This window comes from Homo sapiens, chromosome 11, assembly GCF_000001405.40.
Source record: "Homo sapiens chromosome 11, GRCh38.p14 Primary Assembly".
Lineage (NCBI taxonomy): Eukaryota > Metazoa > Chordata > Mammalia > Primates > Hominidae > Homo > Homo sapiens.
Genome location: NC_000011.10, coordinates 49,839,331 through 49,865,223, shown reverse-complemented (window position 1 = coordinate 49,865,223; position 25,893 = coordinate 49,839,331). Strand labels below are relative to the sequence as shown.

Here is a 25,893-nt window from a genome sequence, read left to right as displayed (position 1 = left end):
TCTCAGCATTCTTGGGTCATTATATGACTTTATATCTCTCCTTGTTTACTCACACATTTATTAATAAATTTTATTTCATGATATATTCCATTTGTAAAACACTGTCTTTTCTAATCAGTGCACAATGCTAAACTGCTAACCACTTGAGAGAACCTGAGAATTGAGTATCTTGGCACACTCCCAAGGTACGTGTGCCAAGAGAGTAAATTTTCACAGTGAAATTCATAAACAAACCATATGTTCTTTTAAACAATTTTTTAAAACTAAATTCCACTTATATGGACTGTTTCGTTATGACTTAGAAAGTATGGGTGGATAAATAGAGTGTCTAATTTTAATTATGAAATTTTGAATGTAAAATGCACTTTTCCATGAAAGTTATGTTATTAACGGTGATTGTATTTGTAAAATGGCTTACAGAGGGTGACACAGTAATGTCAGATGAATTGAGTTTGTTATTTTTCAATCAATCAGATAATTCCATTACACAATCAGAGCACAGCTGATATTGACCTAGTAAACCAGACCAAATCATAGACGTTTAAATAAATCTCACATCTAATTCATGATATTATGCATCCCTCTTTTCTAATTACAAAGATAATACAGGTTCATGTTTTAAGTTGTTTTTTTTTTTTTTTTTTTTTTTTTTTTTTTTTTTTTTTGAGACGGAGTCTCACTCTGTCACCCAGGCTGGAGTGCAGTGGCGCGATCTCGGCTCACTGCAACCTCTGCCTCCCAGGTTCAGGTGATTCTCCTGCCTCAGCCTCCCGAGTAGCTGGGACTACAGGCACGCACCACCATGCCCAGCTAATTTTTGTATTTTTAGTACAGACGGGGTTTCACCATGTTGGCCAGGATGGTCTCCATCTCTTGACGTCATCATCCACTTGCCTAGGCCTCCCAAAGTGCTGGGATTACAAGCGTGAGCCACCGCACCCAGCCACATGTTTTAATTTTTTATATAACTGAGATAATACTATATATATATAGTTTTGCAATTTGCTTTTCTTCACTTAATAGTATATCATAAGCATTTTTCGATATTATTAATTATTCTGGTACAACATATAAATATCTTTTAATCACTTCATTTACTATCATAGTCATTAATGTATTATTCGAGTACATATAAATTGTTGAAGATTTGTGTTGTCTACAGTTTTCCACTATTACAAGTAATTCTAAAATCACTTTTATCTTTTAAATGTCATGAATACTTAGTCTTTATTTATACATATTTTTAGGCAAATGCATAGTCTATGGTGTTATCAAAAGTTGTGCCTTGTCCTGAATCTTAAGCAATGTAGTAAATCTTATAGCCCCAAGGAAGAAAGACCAGGGTACTTTCCTAATCTGCCCTTAAATTGAACAGATGTGTCCTACTCCCCAGATGTCGGCCTCCTCACCTCTAAAAATGAGTGCCTTGCCCTTGGTCAAAAAGTGCTTCCTCATAGATACTGGAATAAAATGATTAAGAAAGGCTTGAACTCAAAGAAGAAAAGGGACTACCTGGACAGACACTTTGGTCTTTATCAATTTCACTTTTAGAAAAGCCAGTGTTCTCTCACCTCTAAAGAATAATGGTGGCTGGGCGCGGTGACTCATGCCTGTAATCCCAGCAATTTGGGAGGCCAAGGCGGGCAGATCACCTGAGGTCAGGAGTTCGAGACCAGCCTGATCAGCATGGTGAAACCCCATCTCTACTAAAAATACAAAAATCAGCCAGGCATAGTGGTGGGCACCTGTAATCCCAGCTACTCAGGAGGCTGAGGCAGGAGAATCACTTGAACCCGGGAAGCGGGGGTTGCAGTGAGCCGAGATCGCACTATTGCACTCCAGCCTGGGCAACAGAGTGAGACTCTGTCTCAAAAAAAAAAAAAAAAAAAAAAAAGGACATGGCAATGGGAGAAAGCAGCACAGGGAAGAGGAGGAAACAGTTCCAATGCCAGGTTAAGCAGAACAAATCTGAGAAAGTTTCAATAATGAAAGCAGAAAGTTTTGACAATGAAAGCAGAAGGGGAAGAAGAATAGAGATAAAAACAAAATGGAAGTTGCTCTATAGTGTGTTATTCTGGGTCCTCCCAGAAGTAGACAGTAAGAGGAATACATGAGTAAGAGATTTACTCGGGAAAAGCATGTGTGGAAAATGAGGAGAGAGCAAGGAAACCCTGAGAAAGTACTTAGACTGCAAGGTAGGTCTAATATTGAATAAAGGTAAAAGGGAGGAGGAAAAGAAAGAGGAGTGTTGGGTGCAGCATCTATTTAAGCGAGGCTATCAGGGAGTCCCTGGGCCAAAGTATTGCATCAGAGGAGTCCAGTGCCGTCCAGAAACAGGCCTGTAGTAGTATCCTTGCCACATTGAGTCATTGCCCGAGAACACCTACAGGAAGCATAGTCTTGACACAAATATAGTGGGGTTTCAAAGCACAGTGTCTGGAGCAATTGATCAATTAGGCTCCCTGCAGTTAAATATCTGAAAGGCTCATTTTCATGGCTGTCATACACTAGATACTCATGTATATACTAAATTCCAGAACAGAACCACTATTCTATTTTATAGTGATAAAATTACAAGCAGCACCCATGTTGGAAAATTTAAGAACTAAAAAATGGAGATAAAAGCCTAATATTTGAAAACTGTCAATAATGAAAATTACCCAAATAGCCATCCATTGATTCTTACAAACTTACTCTAGGAGCTTCTCTGCATCATAGTATCCAATTGGATGAACAGGAATACTTGGAAGACCAACAGCCTCTGCAATTCCACACCTATAAGCATATTCTGAAAAAAAAAAAATTGCTGTATTTCCAGTAAAAACTTAGTTTCATTCAAACGGTTCTCTATAAATTACATTAAATACATTCTAATTTCACATTTGCTAGAATTGCTAAAGTAAAACAGATTAACAATTCAAATGTAGCGAGAATGTGGAGCAACTGAAATCCTCATACAATGCTTGTGATAATTTAGGCTAAAATTATACAATCACTTAAGGTAACTCTTTTAAAAAGCAATGTCAAGCAGAAATGTGCACTATGGCACAGCAATTCCATTACTGGGTATTTACTCTAGAAAGATGAGCACATGCCCACAAGAAGACGTGTACAATATTGTTCAAAACAGCCATGTTTATATTAGCCAAATATTAGACAAAGTCCAGGTTTCTAACAGAAGAGTGAATAAACAATCCATAGTATAATCCCACAATGGAATGCTGCTCAATCAACAAAAGAAAAAAACTAATACATACAATATGATGGAAAATCTCAAATTTTCCATCATTGTAATAAGCAAGACTTTAAAAATAAATCTAATCATTTCTTTTCTTTTCTTTTCCTTTCCTTTTTTTCTTTTTTCTCTCTCTCTTTCTTTCTTTCTTTCTTTCTTTCTTTCTTTCTTTCTTTCTTTCTTTTCTTTCTTCTCTCTCTTTCTCTCTCTCTCTCTCGTTCTCTCATTCTTTGTTTCTTCTTGCTTTCTTGCCCAGGCTGAAGAGCAGTGGCTCAGTCTCAGCTGACTGCAACTTCAGGGTTCAAGAAATTCTCCTGCCCAGTCTCCTAAGTTTCTTGGATTGCAGGTATGTGCCACCACTCCTGGCTGATTTTTGTGTTTTTAGTAGAGACAGGGTTCCCCCATATTGGCCAGGCTGGTCTCCAACCTGATCTACCAGCCTTGGCATCCCAAAGTGCTGGGATTACAGGTGTGAGCCATCACACCTGGCCTCTCTGAGGTTCATTTTTCTATGCAAAAGAAAATGGAAGGATGAGGATGTAGTGCCCTGTGAGTTGTGCATGAACCCAACAATTTTACCTACAGATCCAAGAGCTCTCTTTGTGCCTCAGGTCTACTTTTGTCTTATACAAAATAAAGCCTGTTCTACTCTAGACAGAAGTTTATCACTGACTCACAACCTGAGTCAAATTTTGCTTTGGTCTTTGTTTCTCCAAGGCATAAGGTGAAATTTTAATCATACGTTTCCTAATTTCCTTCCTTCAGGAAAATGGTCTCAGACATCACACAAGCCTTCCAGAAAGAACCCATCTGCCTCTTCTGTCTGAACTAACTCGTAGACCCCATCACCACAGGCTGCGGCCCCAGCTTCTGTAGGCCCTGTCTCTGCCTTTCCCGGGAAGAAGCCAAAATTCCTCCTGGCTGCCCACATACGGGGAACTGTCACAGCAGGAGGACGTCAAAACCAATATTTTTCTGAAGAATCCAGTGTGCATTGCCATAAAAGCCAGTCTCTGGCAATTCCTGAGCTCTAATGAACAAATGTGTGGGATCCACAGGGAGAAAAAAAGATATTGGAGCGGTGGATAAGAGCCTGCTTCATTTGCTGTTCTGGAACACTCAGGAGCACGGGGCTCACACACACTGTGAGGGGCAACTAAGGAACACTGGGTAAGTGATGGCTCTCAGAGCACTTTGAAAGCTGGAGGATGGCACAGGTAAAGAGATTAGGGGGAAGATGAAGAGCATGAGGATTATTCTGTTCTGTACTGGATATCATGTAGTGCCTAGGTATCAATGATAGAAATTTAAATGGAATCTGTGAGAATACCTTCCTTCCTGGAACTTGCATTTCACTGAGGGAGTGATGAAGTTAATAATCATTATAATAATTTGACTATTTAGTTTAATGTTCAAGGCACTGTAAAGAGCTCAATATCAGAGAGAGTTTCTGGCTATCTAAACTACAAGTTCAAAAGCCTTCTATATAAGAAACCTCTTTACCAACACTGGAAATAATAGAATAAACTTTGCTAGAATTAGCAAGGCATGGTGTCAGTAGATTCCAATTCTGATGCAAGATGCCACATTATCTGTAAATTAGCCCTGCTTATGATTTTCCTATTATACTGGTTGCATTCCATGTTGTGGTTGTACAGTCTGAGATCTTCCCAAATCTCTTTCATATCTCATCCCTTGATTTCTTTATCAATGGGGGTCTGACAACCAAAGCCATTTGTTTCTCTATGTTCAAATTCATAATTCTTTTATAGGAGACGATAATGAAGCAAATGAGATCTTTTTGGGAAAAAATTCAAGAAAACCAAAGAAAGTTAAATGAGGAGAGCAGGAAAACCAACCAGTGGATTGTAAGTATTAGGCTTTTTCCCTCGGATTCAGCCTCAGACAGACATGCTACAAATGTATCCACTTACCACTTGAGTGGAAATCATCTTGGTTAGGATTTGAGGAAGGTTTTTTCTCATGGCTTCCAATCCTGAGGGTACAATGCAGCATTGATTACTGCTCAGAGAGAGTGGTCAGGCTATGGAGTAGGGAGGTTTAGTACTAAAGACTAATTTAAAAACTTAATACTGCAAAAAATTATCTGTGAATCACCATAAATTCCAATGACTCTCAGGTAGGTTGTCCGATATCAAAGGGTGTATATTGAAGAAATGATGAATCATAACCTTTCTTTGTGTGTTTTAGGAAGTCATATAATGAATAAACGTGGTTTAAGAAAAGAACGAATTTAGCTTCTAGTATTGTTAAGAAACAATAAAAATAAATGAAAGAAAGGGAGGAATGATTGATTTCATGGTTCTGAGAAGTGGGAAGACATGAGTTTATGTACATAGCTTATTCGTAGGATACATCAGTCAGTCTAGGCTCAGTGGCTCAAATTCGTAATTCCTATGATTTGGGACTGCTACCTCAGGAAAGGGTTTTAAAGACAAATTTCCCTTGAATGATTATTTGTTTTTCAATCCTGTGATAAAATATTTGGTATTAGAAAGCTCAATTGTATTTTCCTCTTTAAAGGAGTGAGTCAGAGCAGCGGCACATGCCCCAGTGTGTGAGCTCAGAGCTCAGTGCTCAACCCATCACTGGACTAATGGACAGATTTCATGACTTCCAGGTGAGTGTCAACCTGCTGAAGTGATGAGCACACAGTGCCCTTCAGGCATGGCTGGCTTGCTTTCTTTCTTTCTTTCTTTCTTTCTTTCTTTCTTTCTTTCTTTCTTTCTCTCTCTCTCCCTCTACGCACACCCTCTCTCCTCCCTCTCTCTCTCTCTCTTGCTCTGCCTCCCTCTCTCTCTCTTTCATCAACGCTAGAGGGCAATGGTGCAATCTCGGCTCACTGCAACTTCCACTTCCCAGGTTCAAGCGATTCTCCTGTCTCGGCCACCCAAGTAGCTGGAATAAAAGGCACCCACCATCATGCCCAGCTAATTTTTTTTTTTTTTTTTTGTATTTTGTAGAGCTGGGGTTTCTCCATGTTGTCCAGGCTGGTCTTGAACTCCTGACCTCAGGTGATTTGCCCGTCGTGACCTCCCAAAGTGCTGGGATTACAGGCATGAGCCACCACTCTTGGCCTCAGGCACGGTTTTACTACAGGCAATTTTTTATTCTTTATTAATCTTTCATCTAATAAAAGGGAACAGACTGTAAATAGCATTTATAAACATACTTAGTAATACACTTCTTATGATCATATGGAAAAAATAAATGAAAGCTGGTGTAATGGTAAACGTCATTCAGTTTCCTCTTGAGTCTGGGCCTTTTGGGTCTGGGTCCCTCTGTGCAGCCAAGTCAAGTCAGATGGAGAGAGATGGTCCACACCTGGCCAAATGGGTTCTACGCGAGCCTTCTGGGTCAACACTGCCTTTCAATAAAGACCTGGGCTGTGATGACTCCAGCCGTGTTCTCCACCACAGTGGGCGGAGTGCTCATCCTGGGTCCTTGGGCCATGGGAGACCCCATTATATATATTGAACAACATGCCATCAAAGCATTTCCCATCTGACACTGCCCGGGGCCCATAACAAGCTACAGCAGCATCATAACTTTGCCAGCACGAAGCTCGGTGTCCTTTCAGTTTATCCGTGTGCATGAGTAAACACACTTACACTCGCCTTCGCATACCCTCACACCATAGTGTACACTGTCCACAGTGGCACCGCCTGCTACTGAGGGCCGTGCCTTTTATCAAGTCTTATTTCAAGCTGGCTCAGCATGAGGAAATTGTGTATGCAACACTGACTTTCAACTGAGTCACTCAAAAATTAGTAAAATCATTTCAGGTAGTGTGTGTTTTTCTTTTTCCTGCTCTCAAAAACTACCTCCAGAGGAGTTTTTTTAGCCACTTATTGAAAATGTTAATGAAGCTTCCTGTGAGTGCAGGGACACAGAAACCAGCAGTTGATTTAAGTCATTCCAACGCATAAGCAAGTTCCAAATGCAGTGAGAGGTGAGGAGGGGAAGACGCAAAGGGTGCCTTGGGAAGAACTGCCTTTGCGGGAAGCCCTTGGTGGCTCCCAGCATGCCCACTGTGATGGCATTCACCCCACTGCAGTCGTCGTCATCAAGGTGACTTCGTTGTTTCAGAAGGATCTGTTGTGGTCAGGGTTCCACCTGTCATTCCCTAGACCATGGCCCTCCAGGCAGTTCTAGGCAGGTCCCAGCAAAAAGTACTGGGGTAGAAACCAAGGACCAGGCCTACAGAAACAGGGACCCCAGGGGCTTCCAAGGGGGAGTGCTGACTGCCAGGTGCAGAATCCATAGAACTACCCACCATGGGAGCCAGAGGGACCTGTGCAAATCCCTGGGGAGTGTGTTAGAATTTCCCCAAATACTGTAAAAGAGAAAAGTGCTCACACTTTATCACGTGAAACACTAATGATGTCTAGGAGCTGACACAGAACAGGAGGACTCTGACCACCACAGGACCAGAGAGATGTGTCAGGACAGAAATGAGCAAGCTTGAGTCTCCGGGCACACCTGGGGAAAGAATAATGCAAGGCACACATCAGGGCTGTGACTCACACCTCAAAGCAGGCTTGGGTCCCCAGGGTAAGAGTGAAGAGACAGCATTCCCACATCATGTAGTGTGGATGGCAGGGCTGCAGGGGATGTAGTCCTTTCGCCAGTGGACTGCCAGAGACCTGGCAGCCAGACCCACTTCTTAGTGAAGGCACATTCATTTCCTCTCTGGGATGCATTTCATCATATTCACTTTGTAGCCATGATTCTTCCTGACAGCCTGAAACAGCAGGCTTTGCATCCTTTTCAGGCCTGGGGTCTGGCCTTACCCCAGGGGCTTCTGTTTCACCCACAACAGACTCGCCTCCACACTGGAGACCTTGTCACTGCTGACAGCAGGGAGAGAAGAAGACAGAGGGGTCCAGCACGGCCCTCCTGCATTCATAAATCCTGCTTTCCAACGAACATCACGAACTCCCTGTCTCCTGCTCCCAGGAGGAGCCTCGGGTCTCAGGAGTGGTCAATGCTGAGATGACAAAGGTATTGAAATTCTGATCTCCATAGTCCTGAGGTCTCTAGTGTTGCCAGGAGACTGTCAGGAGGAGATCCAGAAGAAAGAGGCACAGGATGTTTCACACTGCTTTTCCCAAGTGCAGCCAAGGGACAGCCTCTGCACACCGAGGTAATTCTAGATGATTGGCTCCACGCTCTTCCCTCCTGCTTTCTAGTGAGTTTAGTGCTGGCTGACTGTAGAACACTTTATTCGGAGAAGCCAGTAGAAAAAAATGTCACTCTTAATTCACATGCTCCAATGTCAGACCAGGAGTGACCGGTTCTGGAGGGAAGTGCCAGGACTGGCTCATTTGTGTTCACATCAGCCACCTCCATGCACATGGAGGTGGATTTCACTGGTGTTGATACATGCTTTCACATCCACAAGAGGCTCTCCGAGGGACAGAAGTGACTTCACACCCACCGCAAAGCCATTTCTGCTGCCAGAGTCCCCAATCTCCAATCACCAAAAAAATTCTCCATCAAGGGGCAAGCTCCACCTATCTCACTTGTAATGAGTAGCATCGCCATTGTCTGAGAAATAATTATTCTGTCCAGTTTAAGCTTAATTTTCACAAACACTAAAAAGTAGTAATATAGACTTTAGCTTTTCCTTTAACTGTATTTATATATAAATCCCTGAGAAGGTAGCTGTCAACTTGAAATTCACTATCTACAGTTAATTAACTTCAGGGTTCAGGGAGGGATCCTGAGCCCCATCCCTATGCATAGCAGGGGCTGGTCTGTCATTGCAAGAGGGCAAGCCTGGTCTCCCTCCTGAGCAAAGAGGAGGGGGTGGGAGGGGCACGGTGGTGTAGGAATTCTTAGCCCCCAGCACACCTGCTGGCAGGCCTGCTGTTCACTCACTCTGGGGGCCTGGAGGTCCCACCATGATAACACCACATTGCCTCACAGAGGCCCCTGCTTTTCTGTTCTGGGTAGACCTCAGGGTAGGTGGTGCCAGGGATGATAAAAAACTTAACCAACTGGGAGAAGAAAACAGGTAAAGGAAGGAAGGATGAATGAGGAAGAAGAGATGAGGCAACAGGGGAGGGAGAACATGGTGATAAAGCCAGTGGGTACAGTGTGGTGGCAACTGACAGAAGAGGAGAAGGGGGTCCATGCTCATCAGTTCCCTCCTTCCTGAACAACATGAGGGGTGCAGGGAGGGCGAGCCCTCAGTGAGTGAATGCAGAAGTTCAAAGAAACAAAAACAGACAAAAATAATAAATGTTCTCCTAGGACACCAGGTTTTTAGAGAGGCCACTGTGAGACCTGTGAATGTCCGATGCCCAATAGTGCTGAGTGGGTAAGTGACAAGAAGCCTGCAACCCCCAGCCCTGTGCACCTCCTGAGACCGAGGAGCCTGTGTCACCAGTACCTAGGGCTAGAAGAAAGGGCTTCCAAATGGCTCAGGAAGACGAGTGGGCATTTCACTCCACCTCTGGGACCAGATGACCACACCTCCCCCGAGGAATCCCTTACCCAAAATAACTGAACATAATAATGTTGCTTGAATATAAACTGGTTCATCTGATCACCCCGACACTGACCCCAGGACATCCCCCTCATGGTGGCACCAGTTCCCCATCATCTAGACTTTTCTCCCTGTCCTCCCACACTCCCTGAGCCTGGCTGGAGGCCTGCTTGTCCCCTCTGCTGCCCACTCCAAAAGATAATAAGAAACCAAGAGCCTGGGCTCGCCAAGGTGGAGGAAAGAGGTTTGGTGACACTTCCTTTGACTTGGAAAATTCCTCTACTAGCAAATCTGATTCCACATGGCAAAAATGAGAAGTGCTGGGCCAGTAGCCAGGCACACAGCTGCAGAAGCTACCTGGACCTGCCTCATGGGCCAAAGGGAAGGGCTGCCCACAGGCAAGTCACGTCTAGAGTGAGCCCAGAGAGACCAGGGAGAGTCTGGGATCCAATCAGGGATGACCCTTCTTTCAGTTGGGTCTGGTGGGTTTTCAAAATCCAGTCTTTCCACTGGGGCCATACCAAAGCTGCAGGGGAGGTCAGGCTTCCCAGTCCCACCAGAACCCCTCCGTGAAGTTGTGATTTTCTCTCAAGTTGCATACACTGGCCAGGTAAAGGCAGCTTCTACTCACCAGGCAAGTGGCCAGCTCACCTTCAGATTTGCCAAAGCAATCTGGGTCCTGCCCCATATTTGCTGGCTTGGCAGGCTTTTCAAAATGCAGGTATCTCTGGAGCTGTTTTGTGGACACCAGGAGCATTACTTGACAAGCCCTGTGCTGGCCCCAGGGTACCCTGTGCACCTGATTAAGGCTGGAACACATTAGGAACAGGGACCCATCATGCCCACTCCGGAACAGCGTGGGACCTGGGGAAATTGCCAGTTGTTTGCTGTCCTACTGTTGCTGTTCTACACATCCCTTGAGACTATGAGCTTCGGTTACAGTGTGGTAATGGCTGGTCAGGACTAGAAATGTCCATTGTTGACCTGGAAGCAGCAGACACCCAAGGCTTAGTGTAGAAGTGGGTGCTCCATACCATTCCCAGTGTCAACTTCCCATGGCGGAAACAGGAAGGAATGTCTGGCAACCCACCAAGGGTCAGATGCCACATCAGCCCGAGCGAAGCTGCCAGACACTGGCTGTTCCAATGACAATTAGACATTCTTGGGAAGGTGGAGCCATTCGTGAGAGCTCAGGATGGGTGTCCTGGAAGTGCCACTTAAAGGCGACTGAGGCCTCTCAAAATCCCTGTGTTAGAGCTGCAGCTCTCCATGTGGGCTGCAGTGCAGTCACCTATGGAGCTTTAGGACAGGCCCAGGGCTCAGCTCCCTGGACCAGTGCCTTCAGAACTTTTGCAGCAGGGATAGCCGGCTTGGAAAGTCATGCCTGGGAGACCATGTGACACTGCCTGGCTGGGTCCTGGGCTGACAGAGGTGAGCGTGGAGCTTGCGGTGACTTGGTAATGCTGTGAATTATGTACACGTGGCAGGAAGGTGCCACAATGCCAAGGCCCCACGTCTTGGAAATTCCATGAGGTCCGCATGAGGTTGAACTAAACACCAAGTGCAGCCCTCAAAGGAAAAATAAAAGAAATACCCACATAAGGGACTCTTTGGAACTGAGTCTGCAAGAGAGGGCTGTCTGGTCCACTCCAGGAGAATTTGCCTAAAATAAGTTTGCTTCCCACTGCATTCTCTGTGCTTGTTCTAAACATCACCTCCCCCCATTCCTTTAATTTGCATCTTACTCTTGTTGCATCCTTTTTTTACATTTGAAGGATATCTGGATTCGATTTACTTAAGAGCATATACGGCTTAATTTTGTATTTCTGGTAATCATCTATTACATTTCCCCCATTTTATCAAATGACACTTTTCCCTCATATCTATTTTAAATATGTTAAAGATTTTGTATCCAGTTTATCTAAAACTCCTTGATTAAAATGAGTTTAATTCTAGCAATACATACATGCTTATCTCGGCATTGTTTCATAATTTGATGATAAATGTTTTTCCCCAATATATGACTGTATGGATAATACTTTTTAAAAAGATACAATAAAATATGATATCATCTCTTTCTCACTTGATCATGTGGCTGAATGAGTCAATCCCTCCATCAAACAGAAATATCCAGCATCACTTAATCTAATTAATAAAAACATCCAGTGTGCATGTGCACCCACAATGAGAAGAAAAGACCAAAACAAACAGCCAAAAAGGAGAGAATCCCATGATTTCTGTGTAAACTCCTACAGATACCATAAATATTTATTGCTAGAAACAGTATTTCAAATACAATGTCTTCGGGCAAGTGTATTAAAACTGCCTTGGATACAAGGGGCCCTATCACTTGTAAAACTTGGCAAACCGGATAACAATTAAAAATACAAAATCACACAGAAAATACTCTTTAATAAATTGAGGTTTTTTTGATTGAGACGGAGTTTGGCTCTTGTTGCCCAGGCCAGAGTGCAATGGCGCGATCTTGGCTCCCTGCCACCTCTGCCTCCTGGGTTCCAGCGATTCTCCTGCCTCAGCCTCCAGAGTAGCTGGGATTACAGGCATGTGCCACCATGCTCGGCTAATTTTGTATTTTTAGTAGAGACGGGGTTTCTCCATGTTGGTCAGGCTACTCTCAGACTCCCAACCTCGGGTGATCCACCCGCCTCGGCCTCCCAAAGTGCTGGGATTACAGGCGTGAGCCACCGCACCCGGCCTAATAAATTGATCTTTAAAAACATCTTAATTGAGGTTCTCTAAAGGGAGCCTTTTAGGCAACATGCCCGCTAGGTGTACTGATTGCTAGGGTGGCTGGTGTCAGGCGAATCGATGTGGCTCCCCCAGCCCCTTCCTGGGAGCATTCTAGAAAGACAGCGTGGAAACGCACGCGGCCTGGTGGTCCCGGGAGCGGCCATGGTGTCCAGCCCCGCGGCCTCACCTTGCCCTCGAACCCCGTGTCAAGCACCCGCGGATTCTCACGTCCTCTTCTTCCACGGCGGCAGGCGCTTCTCCTGCACCTTGGCCTGGCGCTTCTTCTCGGCCTCCTCAGCCTCCGGTTTCTCCTCCGTGGCCACCTTGTACGGCCACTTGGGTGTCCGCAGGTGGCGGGTGTCCGCAGGTGGCCACTGTCCTTGGTGCTGCCCTTCGGCACCGGCCTCTGGCGCTGGAAGGTGGGCGCGGGCGCCTTGCTGAGGCGGATCGGGGCACCACCACGCCGGGCCGCAAGCTGCTCCGCCGCAGGCGCTGCAGGGGCAGGAGGCTGGCCTTCCGCGGGGCGGGGTCGGCAGAGCCCCAGGACCCCGGCAAAGGGGCAGGTGGGAGGCCAGCTCTTGGGGAGCCCTGCCGGGAGCCCGCGGCCTCTGGGCAGGGCCACTTGTGCTGCTCTGCGCCCTCCGCTTCGCCCGCCTCCTGCGCCTGCCTCCCCACCCCCACGCCGCGTCACCAGAATTTCCTGAGCCGCCAGGATTTCCTGCACCGCCAGCAGCCTCTTCCCCAGGCACAGGGAGTTCTGGAGGCACACGGTCTGGCAAGGGAGGGCCACGGCGGGGCTTTCAGAGGCTGGTGGTCATCCTGACCATGTGGTCCAGGGCGCCCCGGTCCTCCGGGCCACACAGGGAGCGCAGCGTCAGCGCGGACAGCTCGCAGTCCCTGACCATCTGCAGGCAAGTTCTTCGAGCCCTCGGGCTTCCGCGCCCTCTCGTAGAGCGGAGGCAGCTCAAGCTGGTACTTTTTCCCCAACGGCTCCTGGCAGGGGCGCTCCAGGAGCCTCTGCTTGAGGCGGACGTGTAAGTGACCACTCCTCTGGCGACATCCCACGGCGGGGGCCCTCGCGTGGATAACCGCCCCTGCTAGCTCAGGGCTCGGTTGCGATCGGTTCCACCCTGCGTGGCGGCTTTCAACCCAAACGCGTCCATCCTTCAAGGTCAAGACCCAGGACATAGTTCAACAAGTAGTTGGTGATGATAGCGTGCCCTGACTGGGCCAGAACAGCCTCTTTAGTAAAACAGCTCAGGAAAGTCATGAAACAGATGCTCAGCTCCGTTCTTCATTTCCACTTTAATTCCGTGATGCCTGTGTGTCCGTCTGACGACATCTCTCCTGGGGTCTGGGACTCTGCTGGTCTTCCATGCCTACTGAGAAGGGTTCCTGGCCATCATCAGGCAGGAAAACCTCAAAGCCCTCCGTCCTCAACGTGGGATCCCTGGGCCAGCGGCATCAGCCTCACCAGGAAACCTGTTCTTCTGCTCATTCTTGGGCCCCACCCCAGCCCTATTCAAAGAAAGACTCCAGGGACAGGGCTCGGCAGCCTGTGTTTCCACCAGATCTGTGTGAAAGCTCAAATGAACCAGCCCAGGTGATGCTGACGCAGGAAGTGCAAGGCTGAGAGCCAGTGTCTAAGGCAACTGTGCCCATGGGGCCAGGGGCAGCTCCTGCCTGTGCAGCTATGATTTGGGTTGCGTTCCCCTCCCTGTCCTGCCAGTTGTCTTCAATGTGGGGGCACTCAGCTAAGGCCACCACGGTATATCCACAAAGCCATGGTAGCAGGCGACATTAAGGCCGGTCTAGCCATTGTGGTCAGTCTCCTGCGCCTTCTCAACGCTCACCCCCCGCCGCACCAACGTCTGCAGCAGCCCCATGCCTCCAGGACGCCCTCGTCCAGAACGCCCTTCTCCAGGACGCTCTCCACACCCTTGACGCCGTGCTCCTCCTCCTCCTGGAAAGGGTAGAAAGAGTGGTCCCAGGCGATGTTGTGGGTGTCGGGCAGACTGGAGAAGTCCTGGAACTCTTTGTAGTCAGCGCGGTCCTCCTTGACCTGTGTGCCTAGGAGTGGGGACGGCGGTGGCGGGGTCATGCAGCGCGCCCCGCCACCCTGCGGCTGGGTCCCAGCCAGCAGCACCACGCTGGGGGCCGGAGGCGTGGGCGGGGGGCCGAGGCTCTGTCCGGGAAAGTCTGGTGCGCGCCAAGGTCTCTGCTTCTTGCTTCTGCGTCCCCAGGGAAGCCCTAGCTCCCGCCCCCAGCCCGGTGGAAACCTCCCTTCTTTTACATTATTGTTTGTTTTTATTTTAATTTTTTAGGACATTGATAAAATCACTTTCTGATTTTTGAGATTAAAAATTAAATAATTTTCAAGTTTACCCTTTTAAAAATTTTTCACTATTTTCATGCTTTTATTTTTTGTATATTTTAATTATTGTAATTTATATCTTCAATTATTACGGAAGATTTTAGAAAAGTCTTTTCACATAATAAAGTCTAATTAATTAACTATTATTTATTCTCTCCTCTATCTCAAATACGTACTTTAACCTTTTAGAACACTTTATGTTTTGAGACTCTTGTGACTTATGTGACATTTTAACTATTATTCTTCACTCTTCTAGTGAATTTTTAATGTCATTCAAAGGGTACATCTTTCTATAGTGAGAATTAAACAGTTCTCAAAAATATTCTCAAGTATTAGGAATTTCACCTTCCAATGGTATGTTAAGTATGTTCTCCTTCCCTTCTAATGCATATTCCCCACCCCACGCCCCCTGCTAATTTTGTATTTGAAGTAAAGACAAAGTTTTACCATGTTGAACAGGCCAGTCTTGAACTCTTGACCTCAAGTGATCCACCTGCCTAGGCCTCCCAAAATGCTGGGATTACAAAAACAGCAACTAAATGCTGGAATGGTGACTGGGAACTTGTCTAGAGTCTCCATGGATTATCCTCCTCATAACAAGGCCGAAAGCCTTCCTCAGAATTATCTGGACTGACATTACTCATTGTCCAGACCTGTTAAGAGACTCCTGCAACCAGAGCTGTGAGTCTCAAATGTGCTCTTCAGTAATGCAGTAGAAGGCCTGAGTTTCCACATAGCGGTATCCTTGAATGCCTGGAGAATTTTGAGGCATAAGAACGTACTGATCCTACGAACTATATGTTTTGTAAAATCTCAGGTTATGTGAGGTGTTTGGACAAATTAAGTTTCAGGGTGATATCCACTATTGAGACAGAAAATTAGTCTAAAGAATTAAGACCTGAAAGTCCAGAATGAGAAAAAATTGTTTTGCTTAGAGCCTCCTTATAATTGTCTTACTTGTTTTGTAGATATAAGCACTAGAGGACAAGCTCTACCTGATATAGCTGGCCTAGACATATGCAGATTTATTAATTGTAGAAGAAAGAATTATACCTTTCAGGTAAAATGGCTACAAAAAATAATTAGCTGCTGTTTTTGAGACAAGTTCTCACTCTGTCACCCAGGCTGGCGTGCAGTGGCACAATCAGAACTCACTGCAGTTTTATACTCCTGGACTCAAGCAATCCTCCCAACTCAGCCTCCTGAGAAGCTGGGACAACAGGTGCACACCACCACTCAAGGCTAATTTTCTGTTTATTTTCTGGTAGAGGTAATGTCTTACTCTATTGCCCAGGCTGATCTCAAACTCCTGGCCTCCATTGATTTTTCTGCCTTGGCCTGCCAAAGCACTGGGATTATAAGTACGGCCACTGAAACCAGCTTTAGATCAATTTCATTTAATACAGATAGCTTCCCAGCTAAAAATATGTTATGAGAATTCTCTTAATTCAGCAAAGCAATGTTATTACTGACCCAGTCTTCACTTATTTTCAGCTTACATGCAGGAACAAAATTACCTTTATTTTTAAATTTGTTTTATTGTATATTTTCAAGGTGCACAATATGTCGTTTTGAGATACACGTGCATAAGGAAATGATTACTATAATGAAGAAAATTAACAAATCGATCATATCACTTAGCTCTGCTTCTTTTTGATGATAAGAACACCAAAAATCTAGTCCCTCAGAATATTTCCCAAAAACAATACAAGATTATCTAATATACCTACAGGTTGTACATCAGATTCATTTATTCTACATTACTGCACCTTTACAACTTTTGCCCTTCATTTACCTATTTTCTTCCCACCAATGTAACCACCTTTTTGAATGTATTAAACTTATAAAAATAAATTTCAAATATGAGTGGGACCATGAAGTATTTTTCTCTGTGTGTCTGTCTTATTTCACTTAGGAAACCTGCCATTTACATGTCTCCTAAATTTAGTACAGATATAAAGTGCTAGTCAAGAATGTGTCTCTGTTTGGTTAGATTATTTTTTTTCCAAGTTATCCTCTTTATCAATTTTTACTTTTTGTACTGTAGAAGAGTGAAAATTCTTGTATTAAAAAAAACTGTAACCAGGCTATTGATAAATAACTTCTTTTAGGGATAAAAATCTCAGGAAGTTCAAGATTTACATATTAATGATTGACAACGTTCTTAGTGGTCTCTCTTTGATTTATTTCAATTGTGAGTAAGTCTTGGTGATATTCTAACATAAATTCTGACAGGTGAAGAGAATAAATAAAGTAAGTATCTCTAGGAGAATCAACACAATAAGATTATCTTGGTTAAATGGCTAAGAAAATATGGTAAATAGACTCAAAAACTGCTGCATCTTCCAAAATCAGAGTCAAACACTAAGTGATCGTAAAGTAGCTAATTCTGTCTTTCTGCCAAAGTGAATCTGAGCTAAATTAGAAGAATGTCAGGAATAAATTTTTCCTTGAAATCTAGCAAGAAATAATGTAATTAAATGATGAGGCTTTGACTGTTGCATAGAGTTTTAGCATCAATAGAAAAGCTCACAAAACATAGGTGAAAATCAAAAAGGAGTGCTAGGTTGGAGCCCTAAAGTGAGTAATTTTATCATCTCAGATCACTTGGAAAAAAGCAGCTAGTCCAAAAGAAGCTGGTGATAAGCTTTCTCTCTGCTAACCCCTAATGTTCTGCATGAAATATGTGGAGGCAGAAGAGAGACAGTTTATTATAGTCTATGTGGCATAGAGTGAAGGAATAAGAGAATATTTCTGATAAGTATTTTCAAAATTTGGAGAATCATTCCTATCCAAATCGTTCATTTAAGGGACTAAAATACAAATAAGATGTTTCTTGCCACATAACCCTCAGCTAGCCAGGCTCTAAAAATGACAACGCTGGACACCTCGACAGTGGTAAAAAGCAGGGTTTACTCACTCTTGAATAACTAAGAACTGGTGCTGACCTTAGGCAGCAGCTTATCTGTTTGGTTGAGGTTCAGCTTTGTTTCATTGAACAAATCTCTTGGGTTATTTTCAGTTGTGCCAGTCATTTAATTTGTTTTCTGAATCAAATGATAAGAATAAATATGGTTTAGAGTGTAAACAGCATTCCCAGATACATTACAACTTGGTATCCCATCTGCCTAATTTTGAACCTATGGGACGGGAATAAAAGCATTGTGAGAAACACCAGGTGATTTCCTTAAAGCCAAATACTCTTGTCCCTCCTACTTTTTTCCAGCTTTCCTGCTGCATGGGACACGGCAATAAATGGGAGTTTCCTGCACACAGAGGTAAAATTCACTTGTTGAAGATGTCAGTCTTCTTCTTGGCCAACTCCTATATTGGCACAAACATGTTGGAGAAATGCACCTACTGAATCATTTCTAAGTCAATAATCTATTTTGGGTTGTTTAACATGTATAAAATAGTGAGTGATTCATTTACATTTAGGTTAATTTGAGGACATGGCAAGATCAGAAGTTTTGGGAATCTAGGCTCACATTAACATTATTTTGAGGTCCACTCATTTGGGTAATAGGTCCTGGGAGAGATGACTGAGTAGGTTATTTGAAGTTACCACAGAGCATAGACTCCCTGGGCCTCTTCTCCCTTCACTTCTGGAGAGAATGTCTTCAAGACTCAGACTTTACCAGGACATTAATTAATGACAAAATGACTAACTGGGTTTTTCATTACAGAAGAAATAGAAAATGCTTTCCAGATGGTAGGGAAATAATATCTTTAGAAACTGACTCCAAATTTCACACTGAACTTGGTGAAAGATGCATCTAGTGAAATGTACTACATATTTCTATTATTTTTTTACAGGGTTTTGGAGACATATTACACAGGTGAGTGTTTACCTAGATTTTAGCATATATTCTTTCAGTTTCCATGAATATCAAAGCAGGCTCTACCAAAGTCATGGCATAAATGATTCAGATATTGATACTACCTTTTTTTTGCATCTGCTTTACTCTCACACCAGAAAACACAAGAACACTAAATAAAAACATACATACCAACATACATAGTGAAATAAAAAAAAAAAGTTTATTCCTGATTCTGTTTTATTGCTTTAAAGCCTGCATAGGTGAAAGATAAAGTTTTGTTTTGTGGATGGTGAGAAAGTCACCAGAGGAAGCAGGAGAGAAGTGGAGGAAGTATTTTAGCAGTGAAAAAGTTGATGATTTGTTGTTCATACCTACATACATATCAGTTAACACTCCTGGAAAACAGGTTGAAAAAACTGTGGAGTGTTAGAACTGTATAAGTCTCTAGGGAAGCTTGTTTCTAAAAGGCACGTCTAGCTGCCTGGAACAAGTTTCACATTCTTTATCTTGAAAAGTATGCAGCAGATGCAGCAGTCTCCCCAGAACCCCGCTATTTCAGACAAAGAGGTCAGGGGAGTCTGCCAAGAAGTTTAACTCAGAATTTCATTTCCAAATATTCTCAAGGCCATAAGGCTAAGGAACCTTACACATGTGGGGCAGAAAAAAAGAAAGATCAGACTGAATTCTGACTCAGGCTCTCCCACTATGCTTTAAAATTTGGAAACTGTAAATAGAAATTAATTCCAAAAAGGAAGGAATAATTTTTGAATAATCAAATTTGTGGATTCAGAGGATTCTCATGAACTGTCTTTTAAACAGAAATAGTGATTTTTATTTATTTTATGGCTGTAGATGTTGTAACTGCAGGTTTTTCCTTCCAGGAGTGAGTCCGTGCTACTGCACATGTCCCAGCCTCTGAATCTAGAGCTCAGTGCAGGGCCCATCACTGGACTGAGGGACAGGCTCATCTAATTCTGAGGTAAGTCTGCACCCATAGGCAGCTATCCCACTATCTAAATATTATTACTGTTAGGACCACATAGGTAATATTTCACCCTTTATCAAATATTTCACTTCTTTATAGACATAAGTGAACAACATAATCATGCAACCCTTTTGTATATGTGTCTGTGTAGTCAGATTTATAGCATTAAGTTTGAAAGATAGTGAAAACCAAATACATTTCGGCCTCATATGTACTGAGTAATGTAATGGGAAAAAGAGGTAGTGTAGCAAATTTTAAAAAGGAGCAAATGGAACAATGCTCAGAATGAAGGTGAGTTGTTTATGTGAAATACAAAATTTTACATTTCCTTAGTGTAATTCATTTGAACAGCTAAGAACTGTTCTTTTGGGGATTATGGTTTACTGGGGATTGCTGGGGGTTTTTAATTTTTTAAATGGATATGTATCATGAATTGCAAAAAAATTAGTTAATGGGTAATCATAAAAAGAAGAAATCATTTTGTGAATACAAGTAAAATTACAAAGAAAAAGAAGTTCAGTTTAATTGCAATATGAAAGGCGACAGGTTAAGTTTAAAATCCAGCTTCAGCCCCACGCTAGCATGGAGGACCACAGAGAGACTGGTAAAAGATTTACCAGAAATCTGCTTTAAATTGTCACTTATGACATGTACTTATGGATTTTTATCCAGTCATCAAGAGCAGTTCTGGAGTAACTGAAAATCTTCACATTCTTTCCAAAATGATAGCACTAGTTTTTAAGAATAAGAAACATTTCTAAATAATGATCTTGATAACAGCATACTATTTAGGGCATACAATGTGCAAATTTTGCTTTGAAAATTGGATTGAAAGAAGTTGGTCTTACATTTGGCTCTCAATATGTAAGTTTTCAAAACATTTTTAATACCTGTGGTTAGTGTTTTGTTTGTCTTGTAGTTAAAATTAATCATCTCTATGCTTTATTAGAGGTTACAAGCAAAATTGTCCTTGTGACTTTACATTTCCTGGTAAATTAACTTCTTGATAGAACAATTTTTGCTTATTGACACATGTCTATGTATGTTTTGTTTCTTTCTCTTTTATTTATTTATTTATTTTCACAGTGGATATTACTCTGAATCATGATGAGCCAACAGTCATATCTTTCGATGTGGAGATTTGAGAAGCATGTGCATTGGATGTGACCGTCAAAATCCGCCCCATATCATTGCAACACCTACAAGTTTTCTTTCATGATGTGCTCAGATTTTCACCTCCGGCAAATATTACTGGGAGGTCCATTTGGGGGACTCTTGGAATTGGGCTTTTGGTGTCTGTAATAAGTGCTGGAAAGGGAAGAATCAGAATGACAATATACATGGAGAGGAGGGACTCTTTAGTCTTGGATATGTCAAGAATGACATTCAGTGCAGTTTCTTTACCACCTCCTCACTTACACTGCAATATATCCCAAGACCTACCAGCCTCATAGGATTATTCCTGGATTGTGAAGCTAGAACTGTGAGCTTCGTTGATGTTAATCAAAGCTTCCCTATATACACCATCCCTAATTGCTCCTTCTCACCTCCTCTCAGGCCTATCTTTCGGTGTATTCACCTCTGACCAGAGATCAATCAGAAATGTGTTCATCTGCTGTGAGAACCCCTTTATTCCAGGAAGCCCTCTTCCTTGTGCCTTATCAAACAGGACAAATAGGTTCTGTTTTATGTCTTCAATTGCCTCCTAATGTTATTGAAACTCATTTATTGTGTTACTATTAAAAGTGGTAAAAACACTGAAAGTGTATGTATTGGTTCTTTATTAATTTTTGAAAAATCATTATTCATGATCATGGCATACAACATATTCTGTTTTTTTTTCTTTATTTCTGACTGCCACTGAGTGAAATAATAAATGACAGACATGTCTGAATGGAGTTAAAATCAATGGAAGAGAGTCGGGATCTTTTGCTTCATGCAAAAGCTTGGAGTGAAGTCTTAATGATAGCTGGGAAATGTTTTTCTTTCTCTTTACCTTACTATATTGCACTTATCCATCACATTTCATTTTACTAATCTATCCTTTGAGTTAATATTATTTGACCTTCCATGCTGGGCTTCATTTTGGAATTCTCACCACATAGATAAATAATCCTGCATTATTAGTGTGCTCTTCTACATTGAAATACACAAGGTGGTCAGAACAATGCTGGATTAGTTGAATTTTAAAAAATAACTAAATATTGACTCCTACCTCAAAACACACACAGTCATTTCCAAATAGATTCAAGTCCTGAAGGTAAGGGGAACATGATACAATATTTGTCAGGCCTCTGAGCCCAGGCCAGGCCATTGCATCCCCTGTGACTTGCACGTATACATCCAGATGGCCTAAAGTAACTGAAGATCCACAAAAGAAGTAAAAACAGCCTTAACTGATGACATTCCACCACTGTGATTTGTTCCTGCGCCAACCTAACTGATAAATGTACTTTGTAATCTCCCCCACCCTTAAGAAGGTACTTTGTAGTCTCCCCCACCCTTAAGAAGGTTCTTTGTAATTCTCCCCACCCTTGAGAATGTACTTTGTGAGATCCACCCCTGCCCACCAGAGAACAACCCCTTTGACTGTAATTTTCCATTACCTTCCCAAATCCTATAAAATGGCCCCACCCCTATCTCCCGTTGCTGACTCGCTTTTCGGACTCAGCCCACCTGCACCCAGGTGAAATAAACAACCATGTTGCTCACACTAAGCCTGTTTGGTGGTCTCTTTGCACAGATGCACATGAAAATATTCTCATAAGGATTTCTTAACCGGGACAAAAATCAACAATTAAAAAAATTAGTTGGTTTATATTAATGACGACTTCTGTGTTTCAAAAAACATGATACAAGAGTTGAAATGCAAACAATTAGTGGAGGAAGATATTCACCCGAACATATACAAAATAAAATGCAATACATGTGCATGATGAATACTTAAAATGTATTTTAAGTATTTTTCCAGATTCTTCCAGAGTGGCATAGAATAAACTTGGATGGCAGAGTCAATGATGAGATTAGCTGTGGAAATGGGAAACCATTTTTTGGAGGACAGTAGTAATGCTGTGAACTTATGAAAACAACCAAGTATGCAGTAGCAACTAAAATGTGTCTCCATAAGATTATTTTACAGATGCGTATCTGAAATCTGAAATTTGGGAGAACATTCTATTAGTGTTCTCTAGTGAAAAAATAGAGCTGGAAGGAAGAAGTGAGGGAAGATGAAGGAGAGAGAAACAGAGTGCATTTGAGAGAAAATGCTATTTAGACTAAAATCGAATACTGCGGATACCATGACAAGGTGGTTAAGGTGTGTCTTATGGAGCAGAAATGGCAGAAAATACCACAGTAAAGAGATTTACCATTGGATTGTTAGTTCTGGCTTTCATTCTGTCAATGTTGTGGCTTCTAAACACATCAGTAATCTCCTTTGATCCATGTGCTAATTAACAACCAACACTCTGCCCCCTCTCCCAGATTCTTTCATCGTTTTAAACCTAATCTAATTCTAATCCAGCTGGTCACTGTAACACATGTAATCACCTAAGAATTTTAAAAATAGTTTTGATGAATAAATGAAAAATTAGCTAGGTGCAATGGCATAAACCTCTAGTCTCTTTTACTTTGAAAGCTAAAGTGGGAGGATTACTTGAGCCCTGGAATTCAAGGCTGCAGTGAGCTAAGATTGTGCCACTGCACTCCAGAGGGTGAAACTTTCTTTGGTATAAATAAATAAATGTGCACTTGGAGGAATGCTTGTGCCTTGGGAAGAAACTCAAGAAACAGTATTAATCAATTTTAGTTAATTTCTAGCATACGTTTACTCTGATAAGACTGATGATAGATATGCCTCATTCAGGCAGTGGTTTTTACAATGATAGTGTGATGCTAATTTAATCAGTGATGAAAAGGCGTGTACTAAATATTGCAGAAATCTAATCATCTCTGTCTCCACCTTTCTTAATACCCTAAATATCACTAAAGAGGTGGGTGTGGTCTTCAAAGGTTCACATAAAAGGATGTAGAAGAGACAAGCTCATATTTCTCCAGAGGAGGACAGCACTTAGAGTTAACTGCATTCAGGTGACCTCTGAAAGTCAACTCTGCAGGGAACGAGGTCCTGATCTTGGGGAGTACTTAAAAGAATTTTCTCTTGGAAGAATCACTGCCAGAAACATTCATAGAACCTTGGGGTGAGTGCAACGTTTATGGAGAAAATTATTTCTCTCTTCCTTTAAAATAGTAAATTACCGTGACAAAAATATCTAACTGTCTAAACTTACTTAATGATCTTATTTTTAACTCATATTATTGCTATTCTTTTTATGACATGAGGTTTTTAATTGTTATTTTGTGTGTTCCAAAAGTGTTTAATATATTTTTGAAAAATTTTAGATATCTAGTGTTTGCTGCAATAGATATGTATGCATCATGAATATATGGAATTCACATTAAAACATATATATGTGTACTGCATGTACTAATATTGGTACACTTAATTAAGTAAAAAAGGATAATTATTGAATACTGTAAATGTTGTGCTTTCATAACCTGAAGCTTTTAGACAGGATTTAAAGTTACTGAGGCAATGACGAGTTAAAAATGGTGATACTAAAGAAATAAGAATGCTCTCCAAAATATCCTAGCTTAGAAATCAAAACACAATTGTTTAGCAGATAACTGCATAAGGAATAACTTGATACTTGATACCAGTTGTCATTTTAATTGAGGCTTACCTCACGTGAAACTATGAACAATTCCTTGAAATGGCTTAGATGACTTCTGAAAAATATTTGCAATTCTTAAATTTTCACTGTTGGCACTTAAATTCAGCAGTGTTTAGTAAAAAAGAGTAAGGTAAAGGACTTCAAACTGCCAAGGCAAAGATTACAGTTTGTATTGGTCAGGGTTCTCCAGAGAGACAGAACCATAGGATGTGTACATAACTATATATATGTATATATACCCAAAATACTTACAATTGTGGTACAATTGCCGATCGTATACCATACAGGTTTGTAGCCTAGGAACAATATGCTATACTGTATACCATAGGTGTGTAGTAGGCTATACCATCGAGGTTTGTGTAAGTATACCCTATGATGTTCAAACAATAATGAGACTGTCTAATGTGTCCCTCAGATCATATATCTGTTCTCACTCTACACATGACACTTTACAGGAGAGGAAGTCCACTAGGGAAATTTGTTCCCTTGATTATGGAGTCTGAGAAGTTGAACATAGGCTGTCATTAAGGTAGTGTCCTGGAGATACCAATATCCTGGCTGAGTTAGAATCAGCTTCAGGAGAAAGAGAGGAAACTGCCTTCTCTCTGCCCTTTAGATTCAGTCTGAGCTACCAGCTGATTGGATAGTGTCCACCCACATTGAGGGCTGCTGTTCCCCACTCAGCTCACCAACTTACATGTCTCTCTGGAAACACCTTCACAGACTCACCCAGAAATAATGCTTTACCAGTTCTCCATGTATTATTTAATCCAGTCAAGTCAACACCTAAAATTAACCATAATACCATTGTAATATAATTACATTTCAGTTTTTAGAAAACTGACTATATGTCAGTTCATAGATTGAGTAGCCCAAAGAAGAAGTTAATTTAAGCCGTAAGAAAAATAAACCCAATATTTTTCATTATTTATTTTATCTCCTAGTGATCCCAGCTTGGTTTAATTGCTGCCTTTTTGTTTATCTGGTCGGTTGGTTTGTTCTGGGGTTGTTTTTGTTTTAAAGAGCCGGCTTCTGGGTCCCTCTCTCTAAAAATATGTCACAGCGCCCTCTGACCGTCTTCCCATGTTTTGTTACCCAACGTAGGTTTTCTACTCCTCTCCCATAGTCATTCAGTAGTTATTTGAAAGAGAAATAGGGACAAGCATGTTTTATTCTAGACCACTTAAGATTAAAACCCGACTTTCATATCGACATCCAGGGAATAGGTTTTTGAAAAGATTTGCATTATGTTATGGGCAGGAATTAGGAGTAGAAGAGGTTGTGTGTCATCTAGTCAGTAGTGTCTGCTAAAAAGCCTAAAGACTCTCTTTGTGTATGAATTTTTCATTTTTGTTACAGAGGAAATAGTTTGTTCTGCTTTAATGAGCACTGTCAAGAAGAAAATATAGCTATCACATATCACCACATGTTCACAGATTTTCACCAAGCCAGACCCCAAAATGACATGCTGCTCTTTCTT

General features: G+C 42.2%; 2 pseudogenes; one reads left to right on the top strand and one right to left on the bottom strand.

Moving 5' to 3' along the window:
- LOC387770 (tripartite motif containing 49D1 pseudogene) lies at positions 4,005 to 21,262 on the top strand (annotated as a pseudogene).
- ANKRD33BP4 (ANKRD33B pseudogene 4) lies at positions 12,725 to 15,609 on the bottom strand (annotated as a pseudogene).